General features: G+C 50.6%; 1 long non-coding RNA gene across 2 annotated transcripts in view, besides 11 other annotated features; it reads left to right on the plus strand.

Annotated features, from left to right (window-relative positions):
• Positions 1-19,368, plus strand: part of LOC105371082 (uncharacterized) — a 146,190-nt gene that overhangs the window by 62,765 nt on the left and 64,057 nt on the right. Inside the window, exons 1-2 of one of the 2 annotated variants that reach the window (XR_933073.3) lie at positions 508-572; positions 3,776-4,519. The exons of the other annotated variant lie outside the window; for it this stretch is intronic. This is a non-coding gene — a long non-coding RNA (uncharacterized LOC105371082). Of the gene's footprint in view, positions 1-507; positions 573-3,775; positions 4,520-19,368 lie in introns of those variants that run through there. 2 annotated transcript variants of the gene reach the window in all.
• Positions 668-787: an enhancer, noted in NCBI's record as "active region_10432". NCBI's record gives its function as "activates an Ori minimal core promoter by ATAC-STARR-seq in GM12878 lymphoblastoid cells {active_cell/tissue: GM12878}" and the evidence as "EXISTENCE:reporter gene assay evidence [ECO:0000049][PMID:35858748]".
• Positions 2,265-2,962: an enhancer, noted in NCBI's record as "H3K27ac-H3K4me1 hESC enhancer chr16:11408487-11409184 (GRCh37/hg19 assembly coordinates)". NCBI's record gives its function as "activates a minimal SCP1, AML or CMV promoter by ChIP-STARR-seq in naive H9 embryonic stem cells {active_cell/tissue: H9 hESC(naive)}" and the evidence as "EXISTENCE:reporter gene assay evidence [ECO:0000049][PMID:30033119]".
• Positions 2,963-3,660: an enhancer, noted in NCBI's record as "OCT4-NANOG-H3K27ac-H3K4me1 hESC enhancer chr16:11409185-11409882 (GRCh37/hg19 assembly coordinates)". NCBI's record gives its function as "activates a minimal SCP1, AML or CMV promoter by ChIP-STARR-seq in naive and primed H9 embryonic stem cells {active_cell/tissue: H9 hESC(naive and primed)}" and the evidence as "EXISTENCE:reporter gene assay evidence [ECO:0000049][PMID:30033119]".
• Positions 3,661-4,358: an enhancer, noted in NCBI's record as "NANOG-H3K27ac-H3K4me1 hESC enhancer chr16:11409883-11410580 (GRCh37/hg19 assembly coordinates)". NCBI's record gives its function as "activates a minimal SCP1, AML or CMV promoter by ChIP-STARR-seq in primed H9 embryonic stem cells {active_cell/tissue: H9 hESC(primed)}" and the evidence as "EXISTENCE:reporter gene assay evidence [ECO:0000049][PMID:30033119]".
• Positions 8,552-9,147: an enhancer, noted in NCBI's record as "H3K27ac-H3K4me1 hESC enhancer chr16:11414774-11415369 (GRCh37/hg19 assembly coordinates)". NCBI's record gives its function as "activates a minimal SCP1, AML or CMV promoter by ChIP-STARR-seq in naive H9 embryonic stem cells {active_cell/tissue: H9 hESC(naive)}" and the evidence as "EXISTENCE:reporter gene assay evidence [ECO:0000049][PMID:30033119]".
• Positions 13,494-13,543: an enhancer, noted in NCBI's record as "active region_10433". NCBI's record gives its function as "activates an Ori minimal core promoter by ATAC-STARR-seq in GM12878 lymphoblastoid cells {active_cell/tissue: GM12878}" and the evidence as "EXISTENCE:reporter gene assay evidence [ECO:0000049][PMID:35858748]".
• Positions 14,981-15,040: an enhancer, noted in NCBI's record as "active region_10434". NCBI's record gives its function as "activates an Ori minimal core promoter by ATAC-STARR-seq in GM12878 lymphoblastoid cells {active_cell/tissue: GM12878}" and the evidence as "EXISTENCE:reporter gene assay evidence [ECO:0000049][PMID:35858748]".
• Positions 15,131-15,200: an enhancer, noted in NCBI's record as "active region_10435". NCBI's record gives its function as "activates an Ori minimal core promoter by ATAC-STARR-seq in GM12878 lymphoblastoid cells {active_cell/tissue: GM12878}" and the evidence as "EXISTENCE:reporter gene assay evidence [ECO:0000049][PMID:35858748]".
• Positions 15,261-15,320: an enhancer, noted in NCBI's record as "active region_10436". NCBI's record gives its function as "activates an Ori minimal core promoter by ATAC-STARR-seq in GM12878 lymphoblastoid cells {active_cell/tissue: GM12878}" and the evidence as "EXISTENCE:reporter gene assay evidence [ECO:0000049][PMID:35858748]".
• Positions 16,211-16,260: an enhancer, noted in NCBI's record as "active region_10437". NCBI's record gives its function as "activates an Ori minimal core promoter by ATAC-STARR-seq in GM12878 lymphoblastoid cells {active_cell/tissue: GM12878}" and the evidence as "EXISTENCE:reporter gene assay evidence [ECO:0000049][PMID:35858748]".
• Positions 16,319-17,098: an enhancer, noted in NCBI's record as "OCT4-NANOG-H3K27ac hESC enhancer chr16:11422541-11423320 (GRCh37/hg19 assembly coordinates)". NCBI's record gives its function as "activates a minimal SCP1, AML or CMV promoter by ChIP-STARR-seq in naive H9 embryonic stem cells {active_cell/tissue: H9 hESC(naive)}" and the evidence as "EXISTENCE:reporter gene assay evidence [ECO:0000049][PMID:30033119]".

The following is a 19,368-nucleotide window of genomic DNA, read 5'->3' on the forward strand; positions in this document are numbered from 1 at the left end:
TTAGCCAGCTGTGGTGGTGCATGCCTGTAATCCCAGCTACTTGAGAGGCTGAGGCAAGAGAATCACTTGAACCCAGGAGGCGGAGGTTACACGAGCTGAGATTGCACCATTGCACTCCAGCCTGTGCAACAGGAGCAAAACTCCATCTCAAAAAAATAAATAAATAAAGTTTAGGCCCTGTCTCGCCCAAGGGAGGTTGGCACTAGCATGACTTGACAAATCAGTGCCATATAACTGTTGTTCCAGTTGGGACACAGGAAACTTGCCACCTGCAAGCCCTGGCCCAGTGTAAAGCTCAAGTCCAGAGGGCTGGGGTTTGTGGGAGACAGAACTGTCACCCCAGGACTATCAGAGAGAGAGGGGCTCCTGGCTCTTATTTCTGCAGAAGCAGCTAGATGGACAGGTCCCTCACTCCAAGGAGCCTCCACCACGTGCCCACACCTTTCTCTGGTTTCACTTTCAGTTTCTTGGAAAGGCTGTCCTTCCCTACTCCAAGCCCCTCCCCTCACTCCCCACCCAGGATCTGGGCACTGGAGGCGCCAGACATCTTATGCCCTGTCCAAGGCTAGCAGGTAAGAAACGCCCCTTGTATCTGCCAAGGTCAAAATCATACACACCCAGGTGGGGCAGTCCCACCTCTGGGAGGTGTCTTGCAGAAGCACTCCTAGGAGTGTGAGGTGATTTGGCTCCACAGTGCTTGTGGTCAGAAACAACTGGAAAGAAGTTGTGTGCTCAGCAGCATGGTGGGGTGAGGGGGTTGCAGGGCATCCCACGCCATAACCCACGAGGTAGCCTCTATGGGCTGATGGGGGATCAGTGCAGGGTGGTAAGGGCCAGGGCCAGGTCTGAAGGGAGAGTGGGCTCCCATTCATGTGAGTGGGAAAAGCAATGTATGTGTCCAGGTGCGCCAGGTCGTGCAGAGCATATCTTGAAAAGGCACACAAGGGATTGATCAGAGAGGTTGCCTCAGGCAGGATAACTGAGATCTGGAAATGGTGTGGGAGGGGAACCAGTTTTTTTTCTGTGAAGTCCTTGGATGCTTTGAATTTTTGTTTAAGTCATGCGCATGCATGATTATTGTTTATTCCCTGCCCCCACCCCACCTCAAGTACAGAAGAAAAGAAAGACAGTTTCTTTCTTAAACTAGTTTGCTGGAGGGCTGGACATCCTTTGTTGCTCATTTTCTGGGAGATGTAGGTTAAAATTAACCTACATCTTTGGAGGGCTTTGGAGTCAGACTGTCTGTGTTCAAGTCCTGGCTGCCCCACTTTGTAGCTTCTCGAGCAAGTCGCTTAACTTCTCTGAGCTTTTATTTTCTCTCCTGTAAAATGGCACAATATTATTGATATAATGTTGACATTATTATGGATACATTGATTTTTTTTTTTTTGAGACAGGGCCTCCATCTCTCACCCAGGTTGGAGTGCAGTGGCAAGATCAAAGCTCACTGCAGCCTTGACCTTCTGGACTCAAGTGATCTTCCCACCTCAGCCTCTTGAATAGCTGAGACTACAGGCATGCACCATCAAGCCCAGCTAATTTTTTGTAGAGACAGGAGTCTTGCTTTGTTGGCCAGGCTGGTCTCAAACTTCTGGGCTCAAGCAATCTTCCTGCCTGGGCCCCTCAAAGTGTGGGGATTACCAGCATGAGCCAACCCGCCCGGACTGATGTGAATATGTTGATATTAATGTGATACTAAAGTTTCTGCCTTATAGGCTTGTTGCGTGGCTTCAATGAGACAGTGCAGGGACATGCCTGAGAAAGTGCCAGGCACCCCCCACCACATGACAGCAAGACTCAGTGTCTACAGTACACTTCCACTGCTATGGGCGGCGGGTTGGGTGGAGATCTTCATGCCTATTTGCAGATGGGTAGGTTGAGGTACAAAGTAGCAAAGTCCCAGGGTAAGAGGCCTGGTCGGGGCCGCTTGTGCCCTGGATCTATTAGTGACCTGCTGTGGGACCTTGGGATGGTCCCTTCCCCTTGTCAGTGAATTGATGGGGTTGGAAAGGCTCTCCTGGGAATCGTGAAATGCAGGGTCTCCAAGCACTAGTGACAAGTGAGGTGGCAGCACCTCAGATCCTGTTCCAGGCCCTGGGGCTAGGCATCTGCCCTCAGGCTTAGGAGCCTCCGTCTGTGTCCTCTGCCAGCACACCCGCTTTACCAAGCACACGACTTTCCCGGGGTCTTGTACAGTAGAATGCAGATCCTGACCCAGAAGGTGCTGGCGGGGCCTGCAGTTCTGCATTTCCAGCAAGGTTCCTAGAGAGGTCAGTACTGCTGGTCTGAGGACCGCACTTTGAGTAGCCAAAGTCTGAATTTGATGTGGGTCATGGTATACACCTGTGTAAAAAGCTATCCAGGCCAGGCGCAGTGACTCATGCCTGTAATCCCAACACTTTAGGAGGCCAAGGTGGGAGGATCACCTGAGGTCAGGAGTTTGAGACCAGCCTGGCCAACATGGCAAAACCCTGTTTCTACTAAAAATACAAAAACTAGCCCAGCATGGTGGCACATAGTCTGTAGTCCCAGCCCTTTGGGAGGCTGAGACGGGAGAATTGCTTAATCCCAGGAGGTCGAGGCTGCAGTGAGCCATGATCGTGCCACTGCACTCCAGCCTGAGTGACAGAGTGAGACCCTGGCTCTTAAAAAAAAAAGGAAAAAAAAGCCATCAAGCTGCACATTTAAGATGAGTGCACTTGTCTGGTCTGAAGGTAGTAAGTTATCTCAGTCAATTGTTCACAGGCAGTTACAGATCCAACTCCTCATTTTACTCTTTCCCCTTTCTCATGACTGCACTTGACTAGTCTAAAAGCCAAAAAGGGCTGGTTGCGGTGGCTCACGCCTGTAATCTCAACACTTTGGGAGGCCGAGGTGGGTGGATCATTTGAGGTTAGGCGTTCGAGACCAGCCTGGCCAACACAGCGAAACCCCATCTCTACTAAAAATAAAAAGTAATTAGCCGGGCGTGGTGGCACGCGCCTGTAACCTCAGCTACTGGGGAGGCTGAGGGAGGAGAATTGCTTGAACCCGGTGGCAGAGACTGACTGAGCCAAGATTGTGCCACTGCACTCCAGCCTGGGCGACAGAGCAGGACTCCACCTCAAAAAATAAAAATAAAAAAATATCCAGCCCAAGAAGGGCCGCAGGATGAACTCAGAATGGTTAATGAACCATGAGCCAAGTGGTGAGTACTGGCCACCCACGGTGCCCCTTAGCCCTCCCCTCCCCCTCCCCATCTCCTCCATACACTCATCCTCCAACACGCCCTCCTGGTCCAGGTGCTAGGGCGGGATGCAGGCGCCTCACATTCCAGCAGGGCAGCCGTGTCTGTCTCAGGAAATGCGTGTGGTCTCCAGCTCTGGCCGCCAGGAGACAAAGCCACCCGCTTTGTTCCTTGGCCCCCAGCAGGAGGGGGAAGGGGAGAATTTCCTTAGGAGAGGTTCCAAGAAGAGGAATTACTGCTTCAAAGGGAGTGCACCATTTCAGGCGGCTGAGAGCTGCTGCGCCGCCTTCCAGAAGGGGCCCGGCACCCCTTATTGTTCCCAGCATGTGGGTCCCGGCTGGGTCTGCCTTAGGGCCCACTCTCCTGTCACCTGCTCCCTCTCTTGCAGTTGGCGACCCCTGGGGTCTCCTCTGAGTGGCCTCTGCCCTCAGTTGCCCACCCACCCTGCCCCCTGTCCTTGCTGTCCTCTTGGTGGGGATGGATAGCCCCTTCTTTTCCCCTCCCCTACTGCCCCACTGCCTCACTCTCGTCATTTATTTCCTCACTTAGGTCCTTGTCCCTGAAGGGCCATGGAGCTAAGTGACCAGCGTGCCTCTCTGGGTCCCGTGTGTGTGGTAGGAATCTTCACACTGCCTTGCTGTGACCGTGGGCCATCGCATCACCTCCCTGTGCCTTGGTTTCCTGGCCTCTAAAGACTGACCTTAAGGGGTTGTTTGTAAGGATGAAGGCACAAATGCAAGCCAAGTCCTTAGAATTCTCAGCACATAGCAAGTGCTCAATGAACCGCCTGGCTGCTGTTCGCTGGGGACACAGTCTTTTGCTCTCTGGATGTCTGACCGTGCCCTGTCCCTGCCTCACAGGGCCATCCATCAGTGCTGGTGAGCTGAGCTCAGCTGACAAGCCAGCCTGGCACGGAGCGCTGCCCCTCCTGCTGGTCCCAGATCCGTTCTGTCCGGAGGAGAATTTCTTATCCCCAGGAGATGCCTGGCCTCGTTAGGAGCCTCCTCACCCGCCCGCCCGCACCAACCCTCTGACTCCCTCCACCTCACCGCCTGGGAACAACAGGAAGAGAGCAGGACAGCAGCAGAAAGGAGTGCTGCTTATGTGGCTCTTCTCAGAATCAGGAGGCTCCCAGGCCAGGAATGTGAAACCATTATGCAGATGAAGAAGATGAAGCCCGAGAGGTTATGAAACAGACCCAAGTGGGCTCGCTCTTCAGTCTCGGCATAAGGAATCCGGAACCTGGGCCCGTGTCCGGAACTGCTGTGCCCAGGCAGCTTGCCTGGAAATCAGGTAGCGTGGGGGGACCCCAAAATCCCCCTGTGACAGACCACGAATCTGCCGTGTTTGTGCACCTCTGTTTTGCTTCCCAGAAACGAAACTTTGGCAACTGGAGAGGGATGGAGTGGGGCGGGTGGGGTACAGCAAGATCGGGAAACAGCACCGTCCTCAAATGCCTGCAGAAGGTGAGAGAACCAGCAAGTGTGATGAAGCACCTGTGTGCTTCGCAGCCATTACCGTGTCTAAATCTCACAACCACACAGTGAGGAAGGGTTTCTGTTTCCATTTTATAGATAAGCAAACTGAGGCTCAGAGAAAGTAAAGTCACTTGCCCAGGAGACACAGCTGGAAGGAGGCAGGGCGGGAATTCATAATTGTTTTTTGGTTTTTTTTTTTTTTTTTGGAGATGGAGTCTTGCTCTGTCTCCCAGGCTGGAGTGCAGTGGCGCGATCTCATCTCACTGCAAGCTCCGCCTCGCGGGTTCACGCCATTCTCCTGCCTCAGCCTGCCAAGTAGCTGGGATTACAGGCGCCCGCCACCACACCTGGCTAATTTTTTTTGTATTTTTTAGTAGAGACGGGGTTTCACCGTGTTAGCCAGGATGGTCTCGATCTCCTGACCTCGTGATCCGCCCGCCTCGGCCTCCCAATCATAATTGTTTTTGAGTGTTCAAAAGATACTTTTTATTTGCCTGTTTTCAAAAAATATTTCTCCCTTACTTTAGACAATTAGTAAAAGTTACAGGAGCCAACAAAAGGTGGAGAGAGCGTATCATTCAAGGCCTTTTCAAAAAACATATCAATCTGAAGAATGATAAAAAGAATATGGAATTCAAAAATTTTAAAAACTCCTTGCATTAAAAATAAGTCAGTATTTGTAATAAAATCTTGTTTCTGGCTGGGCGTGGTGGCTCATGCCTGTAATCCCAGCACTTTGGGAGGCCAAGGTGGGCAGATCACTTGAGGTCAGGAGTTCGAGACCAGCCTGGCCAACATGGTGAAACCCCGTTTCTACTAAAAATACAAAAATTTGCTGAGTGTGATGGCACATGCCTATAATGCCAGCTACTCAGGAGGCTGAGGCAGGAGAATCACTTGAACCCGGGAGGCTGAGGTTTTAGTGAGCTGAGATTGTGTCACTGCACTCCAGCCTGGGTGACACAGCAAGACTCTGTCTAAAGAATAAAAAAAAAATTAAAAAAAAATCTTGTTTTAACCAATTATTTAGTTTTGTATTAGTGTATTTTTTAATATTAAAGATGCATCTCTAGAAAGATTATTATAATTTTTAATTATAGCCAGCTGAATTATACAACTCCTTTAAAAATTCCTTTTACTGGGGAGGGATAGCATTAGGAGATGTACCTAATGTAAATGATGAGTTAATGGGTGCAGCACACCAACATGGCACATGTATACATGTGTAACAAACCTGCACGTTGTGCACATGTACCCTAGAACTTAAAGTATAATAAAAAAGATTCCTTTTACTAACCTTATTATGACTTACATAGACCATTCACAATGTATTTTTTTTTTTTTTTTTTTGAGACAGGGTCTCACGCTCTCACTCAGGCTGGAGCCCAGCGGCATGATCATAGCTCACTACAGCCTCAACCTCCCTGACTCAAGCAATTCTCCCTCCTCAGCCTCCTGAGTAGCTGAGACTACAGGCACGCACCACCACACCTGGCTAATTTTTTATTTTTTGTAGAGTCAAGGCTCACTATGTTTCTGAGACTGGTCTGTAACTCCTGGACTCAAGTGATCCTCCTGCATCAGCCTCTCAAAGTGCTAGGATTACAGGTGTGAGCCACCGTGGCTGGCCCAGGGCTGGAATTCTGACCCAAGCCCTCATCTCACAGGCTGCAGAACTGAGCTCACATTCCATTGTGGGGGAGACAAGTGATGAACAAATAAATAAGATTAATTTAGGCAGAATGATGTTTTGGAGGAAGTTAAATGATTAGATGATGTAACAGAGGATGATAGCAAAGGGGTGGAATCTAGACCAGCCAGATGGTTGGGGGTAGTGGGGTCTCTTGGCAGAAGCCGTGTTTGAACTAAGATGGGGAGGAAGAGGAGGAAGAGCCAGATGTGTGAATGTCAGAGGGAACAGTGTCCTGGGTGCAGTGACGGCACGTGCAAAGGCCCTGGGGTGAACTTAGCCTGGCGTGCGGAGGAACAGAAAGGCCTGCGTGGCCGGAGCTCTGTGAGTGATGAGGATGGAGGAGCTGGGGCTGGAAAAGTAGGCAGGGGCCTGGCAGGTCACGTGGGGAGGAGTTTGGGTTTATTCTGAAGGTGGGAGGAAGCCACCAGGAAGGACTGAAGCAGGAGGTTAACCAGATTTTTGGGAGCCACAGCCTTACCTTTCCTCAGCCCTGGTCAGGTTGGGGTGGGTGCCTTGGAGAATGGTTATGGGAGTGTCCTGAGGCCCCGAAGCCTGGAACTGTCCCAGACTTTGAGGTTCCCCATACCTGGGATCGCATTCTTGCTCTGCCACTTAATGGCTTGGTGATCTTGGGCCTATAGCTTCAGTTCTCTGGGGCTTAGTTTCCTCTGCTGTAAAAATGGGGATGTCAGCCAGGGGCAGTGGCTCATGCCTGTCATTCCAATGCTTTGGGAGACTGAGGTGGGAGGAATGCTTGAGCCCAGGAGTTGGAGACCAGCCTGGGAAACACAGAGAGCCCCGACTCTACAATATATGTATATTTTTTTAATTAGGCAGGAGTGGTGGCACACGCCTGTAGTCCCAGCTACTCTGGAGGCTGAGGTGGGAGGATTGCCTGAGCCCGGGAGGTCGAGGCTGCAGTGAGCTGTGGTGGTGCCATCCTCCCTTTGCAGAGCAGGCCTTGAATGAATACCAAGCCCTTGGCACAGAGCCAACAACCATGAATGGCGCCTGGTATTTCTGCAGTTGTTGCTGTGAGCATCCCTGCAGCACCTTCTCAGACCCAAGGTCGGTCGTGTTCTGGCTCCCTGGGGGTCCCCACTGCCCAGGGGAGGCTCTGAGGAATTGCAGGAGCCTGGGGATGGCCCAGCTCCCAGAGCACCCCATTCCTGTTTCCTTGCCAGGGCCAGCTCAGCAAGATTTCCATGGACATCAAGTGTTCTTTCCTGTGGGGGCAGTGCAAGGAGGGTCCAAAGAGCAAGCTCCTGTGCCCCCGGGGGTGGGGGTGGGTCAGGGAGCCTCAGTTTACCCACTTGTGAAAGGGCCATAGTAACCTCAGACCTCTTCAGCACTGGTTCCCTGATTTGAGGATTTCAAAGATCAGCAGACTTAAAAATATAAACATAGAGGCAGGGGTTCCCAAACCCCTGGCCACAGACCAGTACTCATCTGTGGCCTGTTAGGAACCGGGCTGCACAGCAGGAGGTGAGCAGCAGGTGAGTGAGTGAAGCTTCATCTGTGTTACAGCCACTCCCCATTGTTCGCATTACTGCCTGAGCTCCGCCTCCTGTCAGATCGGCAGCAGCATTAGAGTCTCATACGAATGCAAACCTCATTGTGAACTGCGCGTGCGAGGGATCTAGGTTGCGTGCCCCTTATGAGAATCTAATGCCTGCTGATCTGTCACTGTCTGCCATCGTCCCCAGAAGGGACCATCTAGTTGCAGGAAAACAAGCTCAGGGCTCCCACTGCTTCTACATTATGGTGAACTGTATAATTATTTCATTATATATTATAATGTCATAACAGAAATAAAGTGCACAATAAGTGTAATGTGCTTGAATCATCCTGAAACCATCCCTTACCCACTAGTCCATGGAAAAATTGTCTTCTATAAAACCGGTCCCTGGGCCAGGTGCGGTGGCTCACGCCTGTAATCCCCGCACTTTGGGAGGCCAAGGTGGGTGGATCACCTGAGGTCAGGAGTTTGAGACCAGCCTGTCCAACATGGTGAAGCCGCATCTCTACTAAAAATACAAAAATTAGCTGGGCGTGATGGCGGGCACCTGTAATCCCAGCTACTCCAGAGGCTGAGGCAGGAGAATCACTTGAACCTGGGAGGTGGAGGTTGCAGTGAGCCAAGATCGTGCCACTGCACTGTAGCCTGGATGACACAGGGAGACTCCATCTCAAAAAAAAAAAGAAAAAAAAAAAAAGAAAAGAAACTGGTCCCTGGTGCCAAAAAGGTTGGGGACTGCGGTATGGAGGGATTGGTAGAGTTAACTACCAATTTAAAAAATTCGCCAAACATGGAGTTGCAAAGAAATCAAATACTATCTATGGTTTTCATCCCTTCCTAAAAGAAAAGATAATTAGCTGGTGCACGTGTGTTAGCTCCTATCGTCAGATGGAAGCTGGTCCCTGAAATGCCAAGTGCTGCTCTGGATGCTTAAGAACTCATTGAGAGATGCATGCCCGGGGACAGGAAGTAGCCATGCAACTGTGAGGTGGCAGATCTGGGATTCAAGTCCTCAGGGGCCGGCTCCCCCATCTGTACTTTGCATCCCTAAGGCCAGTGGTCCTCAAACATCAGTAGGCACCAGTGCCACCTGCAGCACCCACCTGGAGCTCCAGTAGCCGGGGTGGGCCTGAGAATGGTCATTCCTCACCTGTCCCCAGGTGGTGCCAGTGCTGCTGGCCCCAGGCCACCCTTCAAGAACTGCTCCTCATGGGGGCTGAGCAGGGTGGATCTGCTTGTAATCCCAGCACCTTGGGAGGCCGAGGCTGGAGGATCTCTTGAGGCTAGGAGTTCAAGACCATCCTGGACAACACAGCGAGCCCTCATCTCTAAAAGAAAAAAATACACACATGCAAACATACATATGTGCATACACATGTGCAAACACACACACCTAATGCACATACACATACATGCATATATACATGCATACATACACATACATACACGTACATACACTTACATGCATACACGCCTGCATATACACATGCACGCACACATGCATGCATATACACATGCATGCATACACAGACATGCATACACACATGCATATACACATACATGCTACACATACACATGCATATGCATATACATGCATAAACATACACATGTATAAACTCATACATGTATACGCACATGCATGCACACATACATGCATACACAAATGCATGCACACATAGTTGTATACACATACATGCATACACGTTTACATGCATACACATACATGCATACACATACATACACATGCACATGCATATGCACATGTACATATGCATACATACACACATGCTTATACGCGTACACGTATACACATACATACGCACATGCATACACACCTACATGCACACGTACATGCATTCCACCACTCTCTGCTCTCCTATGCCCCAGATGGGCTTCTGCTTTATGAAAAACCTATTCACTTGTTCTGGTTTCTCTTTTTCCTTTGAAGATGTCAGGGAGCAAACCCATTCTGGGACCCATCACATGAGACCTTCGATTGGGGCTAGGACACCAGGTCTGGGGCTCCCCCACTTCCAGGGCTGTGTTCTCATCTGACAAGATGGTGACCTCCACTGTCTCCCTCCAGGAGGCCAAAAATGTGAGGAGGGGAATCCAGAGAGATGCTTGGTGAGGAATTTTCCGGAAGATGGCCAGTTCCCTCAGGCAGTGTTAGCACTTACTGAGGGTCCGGGGTGTCCAGACATGATTTTCCCTTTGTTTTTTTTTGGTTTTTTTTTTTTTTTTTTTTTTGAGATGGAGTTTCATTCTTGTTGCCTAGGATGGAGTAAATGGTGTGACTTGGCTGGCTGCAGCCTCCGCCTCCCAGGTTCAAGCAATTCTCCTGCCTCAGCCTCTGGAGTAGCTGGGATTCCAGGTGCCCGCCACCATGCCCGGATAATTTTTTGTATTTTTAGTAGAGATGGGGTTTCACCATGTTGGCCAGGCTGGTCTTGAACTCCTGACCTCAGATGATCCACTTGCCTTGGCCTCCCTAAATGCTAGGATTACAGGCGTGAGCCACCACGCCCAGCCCCGACACCATTTTCTGTATTGATCTATCAAATTTTTGTTGAGAGCTTTCTAGGTTCCAGGCAGCCACTGTTCTGATGCTTTACATCAACTCATTTAATTTCCCTCATGAGGTAAGAACTGTCATCCCCATTTTACAGGTGAAGAGACAGGCACAGAGAGGCTGAGTTATTTGCCTGAGGTCCCACAGCAAGTAACAGGCAAGGCCAGGATTCCAGGCCAGGCCAGGAGGCTCCCGGCTCTCTGTTGGCCCAGCCCTGGTCTTCTTAATGAGATCCCAGATCAAGGCTGGGACGAGGGGAGAGCTGTGCCTGGCACTGCTGCTTGCTTTCCAGGTGTAGTGGGTTAAAAGTGTCCCCAAAGAGATAAATCCACGTTCTAACCCCCCCAGAACCTGTGACAGTGACCTTATTTAGAAGATGGGTCTTTGCAGATGTCATTAAATTTAGGATCTGAGGATCTGGAAACGAGAACATGGGTGGACCCCAAATCCCATGTGAGGTGTCCCTGGAAGAGAGAGGCAGAGAGAGATTTTGGACACAGACACGGAGGCGAGGAGGCCCTGTGCAGATGGAGGTGGAGGCTGGAATCACACAGTTCCAAGCCAAGGAATGCCTGGAGCCACCAGAAGCTGGAAGAAGCAAGGAAGGGGCCTCCCTTCCATCTTCTGGAGGAAGCAGGGCCCTGCTGAAACCTTGACTTCAGACTTCTGGCCTCCAGAACTGTAAGAGAATCAAGTTCTATTGTTTTAAGCCACTGAGTTCATGACTTGTTGCTTGTGGCCTCGGGAAACTGACATCCTGGGTAAAACTCCTCCCCTCTCTAGGCCTGTGTCTCTTCACTTCTGTGCCCACCATGCAGCTCCTGGGTCCCCTGCTCACTGGTCCCTGACACCAGCTGGCCAGGGACCCCTCAGTACCTGTGGGGAGTGCGGTGGGCCGGCGGCCTTCCAGAACTGCATTGGGCAGGCCCCGCCAGGTTTATGCCTGGAGCGGCCTCCCTCGCCTGATGCACTGGGCTGGGATCAAGAGGCATGAGCTCTGCTGCAGACCCCACTGACCTTGGAGAAGACGTTGCCCTCTGGGCCTGTTTCTTCTGGGAGATGGGAGCCCTGTCACCTGCTAGGTTTGCTGGGAGGGTTCACAGGGTTCTTTAAACATGGCAGGGTCTCAGTCTGTTGTGGACGTCATTGTCATTGGTTTATTACCTGTCTGTCTGTCTGTCTATCTATCTAATCTATCTATCTATCTATCTATCTATCTATCTATCTAATCTATGGAGATGGGGTCTTGCTGTGTTGCCCAGGCTGGAATGCAGTGACGCAATCATGGTTCACTGCAGCCTTGACTGCCCAGGCTCAAGCAATTCTCCCACCCAGCCTCCCAAGTAGCTGGAACCACAGGCTCATGCCACCACACCCAACTAAGTTTGTTATTATTATTTGTATAGATGAGGTCTTGCTATGTTGTTAAAGCTGGTCTCAACTCCTGGGCTCAAGCAGTACCCCCACTTCGGCCTCCCAGAGTGCTGGGATTACAAACATGGTATGTTGAGCATTTAAAATTTCAAATTATTTTATTTTATTATTATTTTTTGAGCCAGAGTCTCGCTCTGTCACCCACGCTGGAGTGCAATGGCATGATCTCGGCTCACTGCAACCCCCCTGTTGTGGGTTTGAGCAATTTTCGCGCCTCAGCCTCCCAAGTAGCACCCACCACCATGCCCAGCTATTTTTTGTGTTTTTGGTAGAGATAGAGTTTTACCATGTTGGCCAGCCTGGTCTCAGACTCATGACCTCAAGGGATCCACCCGCCTTGGCCTCCCAAAGGGCTGGGATTACAGGTGTGAGCCACTGTGCCCGGCCTATTTTATTTTACTTTATTTTATTTACAGAGACAGAGTCTCACTATGTTGCCCAGGCTGATCTTGAACTCCCGGGCTCAAGCAGTCCTCCCTCCTTGGTCTTCCAAAATGCTGGGATTACACGTGTGAGCCACCATGCCAGGCCCATTGTTATTCTTTTAATGAGCTTTTTTCCTGAGCCCCTACTATGTGCTTGGCTGGACATGAAACCCTTCTCAAGGAAATAAGGTTTGTCTGATGCTAATAATGAACTTCATTTTAGTAATGAGGATTCTGAGGTCCAGAGAGGTTAAGACTTTTATGGAGGAGCACAAGCTGGCCCAGGACCTCCACACTTTAGTGCCCTGTAACTGCTGGGAGCTTCCTGGTTGGATGGGCAGGGGAGAGCTGGCGATTTGGCATGTTGGGACAGGGGGAAGAGCAGGCAGAAGGGTGTTCCAGGCCGAGGGCACACTCCAGTGAAATCCAGGAGTGTAGACTTTGATGCCGGGTAAGGCTGGGGCAGCAAGGGGCCCGGAAAGTGCCACTGGCTGCAGTCAAAGTGGCCTGAGCAAGGTGTTCTCTGTGTTTCTGAGGCTGACCTCTGTGAACTCAGAGAGAGAAAGAGAGAGAAGGGATATTGGTGTGCGCTTGTGTGCATGTGTGCACAACCATGCGGTCTGGCAGGCTTGTGGGACAGTGCCCATGTACAAGCAGCTCTCTTGTGTGTGCAGGGCTGCTTGGAGGCCATGGTCCTGGGCTCTTGGGTGTGTGTGAGTGTGTGTGTTTCCACTGGTGGAAAATGGGTGTATCTCTTGGCAGGAGCTGGGAATGTGAGTGGGTCTGAGGTCCAGGGAGAGCAAGCCTACGGTTGCAAGTGGGCAGACTACGTGAGAGGGGTCTGGGAGCCTTTGTGTCTGTGTGCATGCGTATGTGTGCCTGCGCCTCAGAGTGTATGCATGAGTGGATGAGTGTATGCACACCTGTGTATGCAGTCATGCACACACATGCATGTGTGTGTATGTGCGTGTATATATGCTTATGTGTATGGGAGTGAATGTGCCGCCATGTGTCTGCTTGTGTCTGCAATAGCCTGAGTGTGCATGCGTGTGAGTTTTGCTTTCACATTCAGTGCTAGTCAGAGGCTCCAATTCCTGTAAACCTCATGGTCTCATCTTCCAGCAGACATCCCACAGCAGTGGCAGTGGGCACCACAGCCTAGGCTTGATCTGACTTATGGCTTCCCCTTTTCAAGCCTCTGGTTGCAGGGTGTAGAGGGGATGTAGGTGAAGGCAGGACACCCGGCCCCCAGCTGGCCGCAGGCCCCACCATCCCTGGCATCTGCGGCATGAAGCCACCCATGGGAGTCTGAGGGAAGTCACATTACTGGGACTGGCCAGGGTAGAGCTGCCCTGGGAAATGTGGGTTCACTTTCATTCTACTGAAGGTGAAAATCAGATCACGCCTCTCCTCTGTCTCTCTGAAAACCCTCCAAAGAGTCCCTGTTGCATTTCAAGCGAAACATGAGTCTCTACCCAGTATCTCAGATGTCACCAGGGCCCTGCTGGCCAGAAAGACTTGGGAAGGAACCACCCATGGTGTATCCACTGTGTCACTCTTGGCTTCGAGTCCCTTCCTGTAAAAGCTGAGTAGGAAGTCCTTGCAGGGGGCAGGGATGATTGCGTGCTTGTGGCCGTTCCTCTGTCCAGTGGGTAGACACTGGGAGGCTCTGGAGACTTGGCCATGAAGGAGACAGCCCTCCCGGTGGGCCAGAGCCTTTTCCCTTTCCATATAGCCATATGCGATAGTAAAGAGCGGTTGCTTCTCCAGGCTTTAAAAAATTTTTTATTTTATATTTTATTTTTTGAGACAGGGTCTTGCTGTGTTGCCCAGGTGGAGTGCAGTGGTGCAATCACCACTTACTGCAGCTTCAACCTCTCAGGCTCAAGTGATCCTCCCACCTCAGCCTCCAGAGTAGCTGGGACCACAGGTGTGCACCACCACACCTGGCTAATTTTTTAATTTTTTCTAGAAACAGGGTTTCCCTGTGTTGCCCAGGCTGGTCTCGAATTCCTGAGCTCAAGTAATCCTCCCACCTCAGCCTCCCAAAGTGCTGGGATTACAGGCGTGGGCCCCCGTGCCCAGTCCCTCATGCCATTTCTGTGCCACTAGGAAGTAACACTGGCTAACCAGGTTGACATTTCTCTTGTTCCCAGAGTGAAACGAATGAGTGCTTCTTCTTTAATCCTGCAACTACCCCACATGGTCAGCACTTATATTTTCACTCTTACTTGGCAGATGAAGAAATTGAGTCCTGTTAAGGAACGTGCTTAGGATCACATGCTAGGAGGTGGTCGTGCTGGAATTCAAATCCAGGCAGGTGCTAGCTTGAGAGCCACTGCTCTATAAAGCCCTTCTCAGGCCTCCACTCAGGCCAAGGGAGGAGGAAGGGCCCTCAGGCAGGAGCAGCGTGAGCAAAGGTCTGGAGCTGGGACTGAGCATGGCATGTCAGGAGAGAGAGACAAGAGCTCTGTGGCCATGGGGAGCAGCGTGAGGTCAAAATGGAGAGGCAAGAGGAGGGAGGGGTGTGGAGGTCCCTGAATGCCAGCATGAACGCTCCGGGCCTTCTGTGGGGTGGGCGGCACGGGAGAAAGGGAGTCTAGCCAGCTCCGGCTGGGTGCCCTGGCTCAAACCATCCTTGCCTCAGGCAAGGACACCTGCATGGACCCAGTCGCTCAAGTCCCAAACCAAGTCCATCCTTGAGTTCTGTCTTTGTCTCCCCTCATCGGGCCGTGGGGAGTAGAGTGAAACCGCAGCTGCAGCCTCCTGGCTAGTCTCTCCACTCCTCTGCCCCCACAGCCCAGTCTCCACGCGGCGGCCAGGGGCGTCTACTGAAAACGAAAATCAGGTCATGTCTCTCTCTTTCTCTTTCTCTCTCTCTTTTTTTTTTTTTGAGATGGAATCTCCCTCTGTTGCGCAGGCTGGAGTGCAACCACCTCCCGGGCTCAAGTGATTCTCCTGCCCCAGCCTCTCAAGTAGATGGGTTTATAGGCCACCCACTACCACGCCCGGCTAATTTTTGTATTTTTGGTAGAGACGGGGTTTTGACATGTTGGCCAGGCTGGTTTCCTGACCTCAAGTGATCCTCCCACTTTGGCATCCTAAAGTGCTGAGATTACAGATGTGAGCCACTGTGCCCAGCCTCCTCTCTCTGTCTCTCCCCACCCCTCCCCTCAAAAATGCGCATTCCTGGTACATTTAAAGCAAAATCCAAATTCCTTTAAGTGGCCTGTGAGTCTCTACCTGATCTTGCCTCACCGACCTCTTGACTGCATCACTGACTGCTCCCCCATCACTGCGCACCCATACTGGCCTTTCTGTTCCTCATACACACAGGGTCGCTCCCGCTGCAGGGCCTTAGCATTCGCCATTCCCTCTGGTGGGAGTGGCCCTTCCCCAGCCCACCAGCCCCTTCTGTCATTCAGGTCTCAGCTGAGGGAGCCTGTGCAGATAAGCCCCTCTCCCCACCCCTCCTGGTTTATTTTCTTCATCTGCATGTGCTTAGCACCCGAAATTGTCTCTTGCTCTCTCCCCATCCTTCACCAGATTATAAACTCCATAAAAGCAGGGTCTTTTGTTGGTTTTGTTCACCGCTGCATCCCAGGCATTCAGTGAGCACTTGTTGAGTGAAGAAATCAGACTCAGTCTTCCCCTCTGTAAAATGGGACCACATCAAACCTCCTGGCAGGGTAGTGGTGTGGCTCAGAGGTAACGTTTGTACACAGTTGGACTTCTTCCCTACTGGCCCAAGGACTTACCTGGCCACCCCTCCTGGAACCCAGCCTCCTCCAGCTCCCCCAAGCCCTCTGCCTTGGGAGCGGACACCTTAGCAGAAGGGCCGTCCTCCAGACCCTTTGCAGCCAGGCCTCTCTGCTCACAGATCCCTGAGGACATCCGGAGGTTGGTGCCCAGAGCCTAGCCCCAGGCTCATGCAAATTCTGTCTTCCAGTTCAGCAGCTGTGGCCTCCTTCACTCGGCCTTTTAAAAGAAATTCTTGGGCTGACTCACACTTCCTTTGTCTCCAGCTGGGTTCACTCAAGTGTCGCTGTTTTGCAAGGCTGAGGTTTGAGTCCCTCAGAAGCAATCTCTGATGCAGGGGCGCTGTGTGCTTCATTGAACTTCGAATGAAGGTCAGGCCCCCCAGAAAACCTCATACCAGGACAGTTGGGAAACTACCCCTCACTGGTGGTCAGGGCATTCTGGGTTGGAGAAACTGCTTTGGGGCTTTGGCAGGTGTTCATTTTGTCCATCCCCCTGCCTCCCACCTAACCCCATCCCAAACTCACTCAAAAAAATGCCCCTACTGCCCTGGGGGGTGCATTTCAACGTCTCATGTACCCCGCTTTTCCTTCCTTCCCTGTGAAATCAGGCGTTTGGATTCAGCGCACTGCTCAGAAGGTTTGTTTCTTTCTGTGCAAACACGTGGAGTGATGCTCTGTCTCGATTTTCTAGAACACTTCCACTTTCACAGAATTGCGGTTATTTTGAGAAAAAGGGTCTGTTACAGGTACAACAATATACTGGTACTGGTCTGCATTTCTTGTTTCTGTCCCTGGAAGAGTTTTTATGTAAATAAAGTCACACTGCTCCAGGGGAAAGGAATTCCTGAGGAATTCCCTGGAGAGAAAGGGATGAGTGATATTTAACCCATTTTCTCCCGTCTCCAGTAGAAAGAACTGGAGCTTTGGAGGCAGGCTGATTTCAGGGTCAACCTCTTCCTGGCTGTGAGGCATTGAGTAAGTTACTTAACCTCTCAAAGGGCCTGAATTTCTTGGGGGTAGATTTAGGGCACAGTTATCCCTGGATACTATTTTTGAGGGGGGAGTCGAACCTTTTTTATTTACTTATTTTTTTTAGAGACAGGGTCTTGCTCTGTCATCCAAGCTGCAGTGCAGTGGCATGATCACAGCTCACTGCAGCCTCGACTTCCTAGGCTCAAGTGATCCTACCACCTCAGCCTCCCAAGTAGCTGGGACTACAGGCACACAACACCATGCCCAGCTAATTTTTTAATTTTTTGTAGAGACGGGGGTCTCCCTGTTACCCAGCCTGGTCTTGAACTCCTGGGCTCAAGCGATCCTCCCGCTTTGGCCTCCCAAAATGTTGGGATTATAGGCGTGAGCCTGGCCTGGAACCTATTTTTAATAAATGGAAGTGAAATTCACGTAACATAAAATTAACTAATTTGAAATGAACAATTCAGTGGTGCTTAGTACATTTACAGCGTTGTGCAACTACCACCTCTCTTTAGTTGGAAAACATTTTCATCATTCCCAAAGGAAACTCTGTATCCATTAAGCAGTCATTCTCTACTCCCTCTTCTCCTTGGTAGTTAACTTAGGTACTACTGGGCTTTCTTGACTGAAGTCCCTGAAGAAGAAACAAATATTTTCCAGCTGGGCCACCACCTGTGACAAGTTGTCATTTGCACGGGGCTGGGATTCTGTTCTGGGTATGTATGTGCCATTCTATATATATGTGTGTGTGTATATATATATATATATATATATTTTTTTTTTTTTTTTTTTTTAATGCAGAGACTCACTCTGTTGACCGGGCTGGAGTGTAGTGGCATGATCTCAGCTCATTGCTACCTCCGCCTCCCAGGTTCAAGCGATTCTCCCACCTTAGCCTCCTAAGTAGCTGGGACTACATGTGTCCACCACCATGCCTGGCTAAGTTTTGTATTTTTTGGAAGAGACAGGGTTTTGCCATGTTGGCCAGGCTAATCTCGAACTCTTGACCTCAAGTGATCCACCCACCTCAGCCTCCCAAAGTGCTGGGGTTACAGGTGTGAGCCACTGCGCCCAGCCCCCCATTCTCTAAATTTTGACACAGCTGAGAGTCATCTAACCACCACCACAACCAGTACACAAAATAATTTCATCCCTCCAAAAAATTCCCACTTGCTACCCTTTTGTCATCATCCCCTCCCCTGCTCCCAGCCCCTGACAATCACTGGTCTGTTTTCTGTCCCTAGAGTTGTAGCTATGCCCAAATGTCAGATGAATGGAATCCTGTAGATGTGTACTTTTGGGTCTGGCTTCTTTTGCCCAACACCAAGTATTTGAGATTCATCCAAGTTGCTGGTTGTATCGGTAGTCCACACCTTTTCACTGCTGAGTAGTAGTTTATGGTGTGGATGTACCACAGCTTGTTAAATTCCTCTGTTAAATTGGGTTGTCTCCAGTTTGGGGTGATGATGAATAGACTGCCCTCAACATCTATGTATAGGTTTTTGTGTGAATGTAAGTTTTCTTTTCTTTTTGACATAGGGTCTTGCTGTGTTGCCCAGGCTGGAGTGCAGTAGTGTGATCATAGCTCACTGCCCCCTTGACCTCAGGGGTTAAGTGATCCTCCCACCTCGACCTCCCAAAGTTCTAGGACTACAGGCGTGAGATGCCACACTCAGCCTTGAATCTAAGTTTTTATTTCTCTAGGTTAGACACCCAGAAGTGGAAACGCTGGGTTGTATGGTGAGCGGATGTGATTCTGCTCTGTTTGACCTGGGTAAGTTAAATCTCTGTAGACCTCAATCTCCCACTTCTGTAAAATGGGTATAAGAACAGTGCCAACTCCATTGGGTTATTGTGAGGATGAATGAGACACATAAGGCACAGAGTAAGTGCTCAATAAATGTTGCCTTTTGTTTTTGGGTTGGAATTTTTTTTTCTTTTTCTTTTTTTTTTTTTTTTTGAGACGGAGTCTCGCTCTGTCGCCCAGGCTGGAGTACAGTGGCGCAATCTCGGCTCACTGCAAACTCCGCCTCCCAGGTTCACACTATTCTCCTGCCTCAGCCTCCCGAGTAGCTGGGACTCCAGGCGCCCACCACCATGCCCGGCTATTTTTTTTGTATTTTTAGTAGGGACGGGGTTTCACCGTGTTAGCCAGGATGGTCTCGATCTCCTGACTTCGTGATCCGCCCGTCTCGGCCTCCCAAAGTGCTGGGATTACAGGCGTGAGCCACCGTGCCTGGCTGGATTGGATTTTGTTTCATCCATATCTTTGGCCATGTTTTTAC

Source organism: Homo sapiens, chromosome 16 (genome assembly GCF_000001405.40).
Source record: "Homo sapiens chromosome 16, GRCh38.p14 Primary Assembly".
NCBI lineage: Eukaryota > Metazoa > Chordata > Mammalia > Primates > Hominidae > Homo > Homo sapiens.